Here is a 6000-nt window from a genome sequence, read left to right on the forward strand (position 1 = left end):
GCCCAGGCTGGAGTGCAGTGGTGTGATCTCGGCTCACTGCAACCTCCGCCTCCTGGGTTCAAGTGATTCTTGTGCCTCAGCCTCCTGAGTAGCTGGGACTACAGGCGTGCACCACCACACCCAGCTAATTTTTGTATTTTTAGTAGAGACGGGGTTTCACCATGTTGGCCAGGCTGGTCTCAAACTCCTGACCTTGTGGTCTGCCCAACTTGGCCTCCCAAAGTGCTGGGATTACAGGCATGAGCCACCATGCCTGGCCAGGCTGAGATGTTATTATGGCTCTGCAACTAGAGGGCTTGGGTTACCTTTAGCTGAGATTTTTGTCTTTTCTTGTTTTTTGGGTTTTCTTTTCTTTTTTTTTTTTTTTTTTTTTGAGATAGTGTCTTGCTCTGTCACCCAGGCTGGAGTGCAGTGGCCTGATTTCGGCTCACAGCATCCCCTGCCTCCTGGGTTTGAGCAATTCTCCTGCCTCAGCCTCCTAAGTAGCTGGGATTACAAGTGCTGCCACCATGCCTGGCTAATTTTTTTATTTTTAGTAGAGACGGGGTTTCACCATGTTGGTCAGGTTATTTATTTTTTGTAAAGAGAATGCACACATGGGAAGATATGAGCCGTGCAAAGGGGCATAGACTGTGTCTGTCTTGTCCACTAATGTATCCCCAGTGCCTAAAACAGTACCTGACAAATTGTGACTCAATAACAATGAGACACCTTTTGTTTATTGATTCATGTCAATAATTGTGACTCAATGAACAAAGGTGTCTCTCTCTCTCACTCCTGGACTCCCACCACCCTGCCACCTGGTTTCTTGGGTATCCTTCCGGAGATATTCTCCACATGCACAAGCATATCTGCCAGTACAGTCTGTGATTTAGATACAGCCCTTTACCACCTCCCTCCCTCCTGCTATCCCCATGAGGACCGACCACGCTTTGAGGGTGGGAGATAACAGCCCACTCATGAACTCCTCTGCTGGTCATCCCACAAGCAGTAGAATCAAGTGCGAAGAATCCTGGCTGAGTCAGGAATGGGGACCTGGGGGCTTTGGAGAGCTCCTCTTGGTGAGCTGCAACGAGGATGGACCCAGACAGAAGATAGACGGGAAACCCTTCAGAAGGTGGATGCAACCGTTAAGGGGCAAGAAAAGGAGGGTCCCAATAAAGCTGATGGTTTTGGAGATGGAGCAGACAAGTTGTTTTGGAAGACGATGTGGAGACCTTGAGAATGCTCTTTCTAAAAATGTAATGCAGAACAGAAGAAAAGATGGAGCTGAGGGAAGAGTTTGTTGTTTGTTTGTTGGTTTATTTGTTTGTTTTGAGCTGGGTCGCATCCTGTTACCCAGGCTGGAGTGGAGTAGGGAAATCATAGCTCACTGCAGCCTTGAACTCCTGGGCTCAAGTGATCCTCCCACCTCAGCCTCCCATGTAGCTGGGACTCCAGGTGCACATCACACCTGGCTAATTTTTTTTTTTTTTTAATAGGGAAGAGGTCTTGCTATGTTGCCCAGCCTAGTCTCAAACTCCTGAACTCAAGCAATCCTCCCACTTCGGCCTCCCAAAGTGTTGGGATTACAGACATGAACCACCACACCCAGCCAAGAGTTTTGTTATTTGCTTGTTGGTTGATCTTGAACCCAGGAGGCGGAGGTTGCAGTGAGCCAAGATCACACCACTGCACTCCAGCCGGGGTGACAGAGCGAGACTCCGTCTCAAAAAATAAATAAATAAAATAATGATTTTAGGCTGAGCACGGTGGCTCAGCCTGTAATCCCAGCACTTTGGGAGGCCGAGGTGGGTGGATCACTTGAGGTCAGGAGTTAGAGGCCATCCTGGCCAACATGGCGAAACCCCGTCTCTACTAAAAATACAAAAATCAGCCGGGCGTGGTAGTGCTCGCCTACAATCCCAGCTACCAGGGAGGCTGAGGCAGGAGAATTCCTTGAACCTGGGGGGTGGAGGTTGCAGTGAGCTAAGATCACGCCACTGCACTCCAGCCTGGGCAACAGAGCAAGACTCCATCTCAAAAAAAAAAAAAAAGAAACTATTTTAATAAACAAAATAGAGAGGGGAAAAGTCACATCCATACTATTGAACACTATTGCCTATTCAAAAGAATGGGAAGAACACAAAGATACATACATATATGAATATATTAAAAAATGTATTTTTATGTAGGGAAACAAATCATAATGTATACTGTATTATTTTCTGTGTCTAAAAAAGTGTACATCTATAAAATCCCATATGTCTATGTTTGCATAGATGGAAACATTAATTAATTAATTAAAGTTAAAATTATTAAAATCCCAGAGATTGTGGTGAGTGCATGTAATCCCAGCTACCCAAAAGGCTGAGGCGGGAAGATTGTTTTAGCCCAGGAGTTTGAGGCTCGCCTGGGCAACATAGTGAGACCTTATCTCTAAAAAAAATTTTTTTAAAAATGTTTGCATAGCTAAATGCAAACATAGAAGGAAAAATCCAGAAGGATTGTAGTGCATGTATGGGGGTATAACAGAATGAATGTGAATTATACTTTTTACACTATCTTATATACTTCTGTGTTATTTCAAATGTTTTTATGTGTAAAGATAAACTTTTTAGTTTTGAAAAAGAAGCCAGAGACCATGGCTGGTCTCAGAGCCCCTCTCCCAGAAGGATGAAGTTCCAAGGCCTTTGAAGGCCACTTCTGGTCCTGGTTAGGACAGACATTCCAAATCTAGTCAGGGCCTAAAAGCTTCTCTTCTGTGGAAATAAAGCAAGCCTGCTGGCTTTGAAAACTGATAACACTGTACCTGAAGATAAGCCCAAAGCCCCCAGGAAGGCTGGAGTGGGTGGGAGGGCTGGGGGCGCTGCAAGAAACCACATTGTTGATAGTGTCACCCAGGTCCCGGCTCCAGGAAGCAACAATGAAAAGATATTGGCAACTTTGACATGGGGGAAATTGCTTTCTTCTGTAGGAAAGAAGAGTTCTGTTTTGCGGACAAAAAGCCACTTGCCCTGACAAAATGCTTAATTAGGAGATAAGCCAGGGAGCAGTAGGAGGGGTGTCATTTTCCAGGGGTCCTGGGGAGCGTGTGTGTACACAGATGCTGTCCTCCGCATCCTGTGGTCAGGGCTGATCAGGGCTTCGCGGGCCGCTGAAGAAGCAGTGTGTGGGCTATTACGGTCAGGGCTCTCCTGGCCCCTGGACAAGTCATCGAATCTGTCAGGACCTTAGTTTACTCATCTGTAAACTGGAGACCGTAATCCTCACCTCACCAGGGGTGGAGAGGATTAAGCGAGACTGCATTTCAAGTTCTCAGCACAGTGCCAGGCACCTAGTCCCTGCTCAGTGACTAGTGGCAGATATCACTGTGATTATTACAAAGGCAATTCCACACATTGGTAAGGACATGGGCTCTAGGGTCAGACCACCCTGGTAAGATTCTCAGCTCCCTCACTGACTAGCTATGGAATTCGGGCAATCACTTGACCTCTACATGCCTTAGTTTACTTATCAGTAAAATAGGGATAATGCTAGTACTTACCTGGTAGAGTTGTTGCTAAGATTAAATGAGCTAATGTTTGTTCAGTGATATGTGTCTGGCCCAAAGCGGTCAGGACTTGGCACATGTTAGCTGATACTATCGATAACAATGGTGGTAGCCACAAGGCAAGTATGTCCTGAGGGCTTGAAGTCTTCTTTCCCATCACGCATTCTTTCACTGTCCAATCCTGTTGGGTTGAAAGCGATATGGAACAGGATTCCCTTCTTCCTCCTGCCCAGACAGATAAAATAAAGAAGGAAGAGGTTTCATTCCATGTCCCAGATGCCCCTGCTGGAAAGTTGAGGCCCAAGATTCTCATCTCCCTTGTTTCAAGACCCATGCTGTTTTCTCTCAATGTGGCTCCAAGGCACTGGCCTGATAGTCAGTGATGTGGACTGAGTGCCACTTGCCTGTAGCTTTGGATAAGCTCCACAAGAGAGAAGGTGGCAAGTGCAGGGATTCCTAATTGGAATTTGAAACCTGAGATGGTCTAGTGGGCACCGCCACCACTGAGGGTGGTGAACCTGGAAGTCTGAGAAGAGATGACCTGGGTCTGTCCCTAGGGGTTGGCACTGCTTAGATTTGGGCTCAGCAGTTTTTAGTGGAATCATTTCTTCCCAAAAGGGGCAGGGAGTAAAGTACTCCTTGCAAATCATCTTCTACTGAGGCAGTGGTAGTTGAGGGACACCCAATCTCTTAGTGCCAGATGCAGATGTTACAGAGGGATGATCCACTAAAGGGGCTACACGACCCTTCTCAGACACCCACGTTTAAAGTGCCAATTGCTGGCCAGGCATGGTGGCTCACGCTTGTAATCCCAACACTTTGAGAGGCCAAGGCGGGTGGATCATTTGAGGTCAGGAGTTCGAGACCGGCCTGGCCAACATGGTGAAACTCCATCTCTACTAAAAATCCAAAAATTAGGTGGTTATTGTGGTGGGCGCCTGTAATCCCAGCTCCTCGGAAGGCTGAGGCATGAGAATTGCTTGAACCTAGGAGGCGGAGATTGCAGTGAGCCAAGATCATGCCACTGTGCTCCAGACTGGACAATAGAGCAAGACTCAGTCTCAATAAAAAATAAAAAATAAAAATGAAGTGCCAATTGCCATGGGAGAATCATCCGCATAAACCTTTATGCATATGTTAAGAGCAAATCACAAATTAATTGGCAGCTTCTTGAAAATTAGAATGACACTCAAGTGATGAAGACAGTGTGTGTGTTGGGGAGAAGGGATAAGAAGTGGACATCTTCATACATAGCTGATGGGAGCAAATAAACTCCAGGACAATTGGATAAAACCTTTCTCTAACCTCAACAATGTACAAATGTCTATCCAGCTATTCTCTTCCAGGGAGGTTTCCTAAGGAAATAATTAAGGATGAGGGCAAAGATTTTGCTATAGAATATTTATTGGAACATTGTTTACAGCAGCAAAAAATATTTGGAAACAATTTAATTGTCCACCATTGGGAGACTAGTTAAATTAATTATGGTGCAGCCATACAATGGAATATTGTGCAGCCATTAAGATATCATAAAAGCATACTTATTGACCTGGAAAGATGTTCAAGATTCATTACTGAGTGGAAAAAAAAGAGGTTACAAAACTGTCTGTATGGTATATAATTTGCAAGAAAAAAATATACATACATGCACACTTTGTAGGTAGGGAGAGCATTTTTTTACAGAGGACTTTGCTAGGGGAACATGTAATACGGGGCCTTATGCAGAATGTTTCTGTATTATGGCAATATAGCTTTTTCACATAACATGTTTTTACTTTACCCGGAAGGCTGGGGGGAGGTACAAACCAAGGAGTCTAAGTGGGAAAATAGGTGTTTGTGTGTATATATCCACCAAAAATGTTATCACTAGCAACTGGGATTTTGATAATTTTTATCATCCTCTTTTTTCTTTCTTTTCTTTTTTTTTTTTTTGAGATGGAGTCTTGCCTTCTTGCCCAGGCTGGAGTGCAGTGGCACCATCTCGGCTCACTGCAACCTCTGCCTCCCAGGTTCAAGTGATTCTCCTGCCTCAGCCTCCCGAGTAGCTGGGATTACAGGCGTCTGCCACCACGCCCGGCTAATTTTTTGTATTTTTAGTAGAGACGGGGTTTTGCCATTTTGGCCGGGCTGGTCTTGAACTCCTGACCCCAGGTGATCCACCCGCCTCAGCCTCCCAAAGTGCTGAGATTACAAGTGTGAGCCACTGCGCCCGGCCTATTATCTAATTTTTTCATCTTTGTATTTCTGTAATGATTATTTACTTATTTTGAAATTTTTTAAGTCTTTTTTTTTTGAAGACTAACGGAAATCTAGATGGCCAGAGTTCTATGAGACTTGAAAGGGAGGAGAGGGGAGTGGAGAGAGCACTAAACTCCAGTTGCCTCAGAATCTCATCTGCAGCCCCTCAGGGACCGATGCCCCTGACATTTCCAGACTCTCTTAGACACATGCCACCAATTGCCAGGCCT

This window comes from Homo sapiens, chromosome 10 (assembly GCF_000001405.40).
Source record: "Homo sapiens chromosome 10, GRCh38.p14 Primary Assembly".
NCBI lineage: Eukaryota > Metazoa > Chordata > Mammalia > Primates > Hominidae > Homo > Homo sapiens.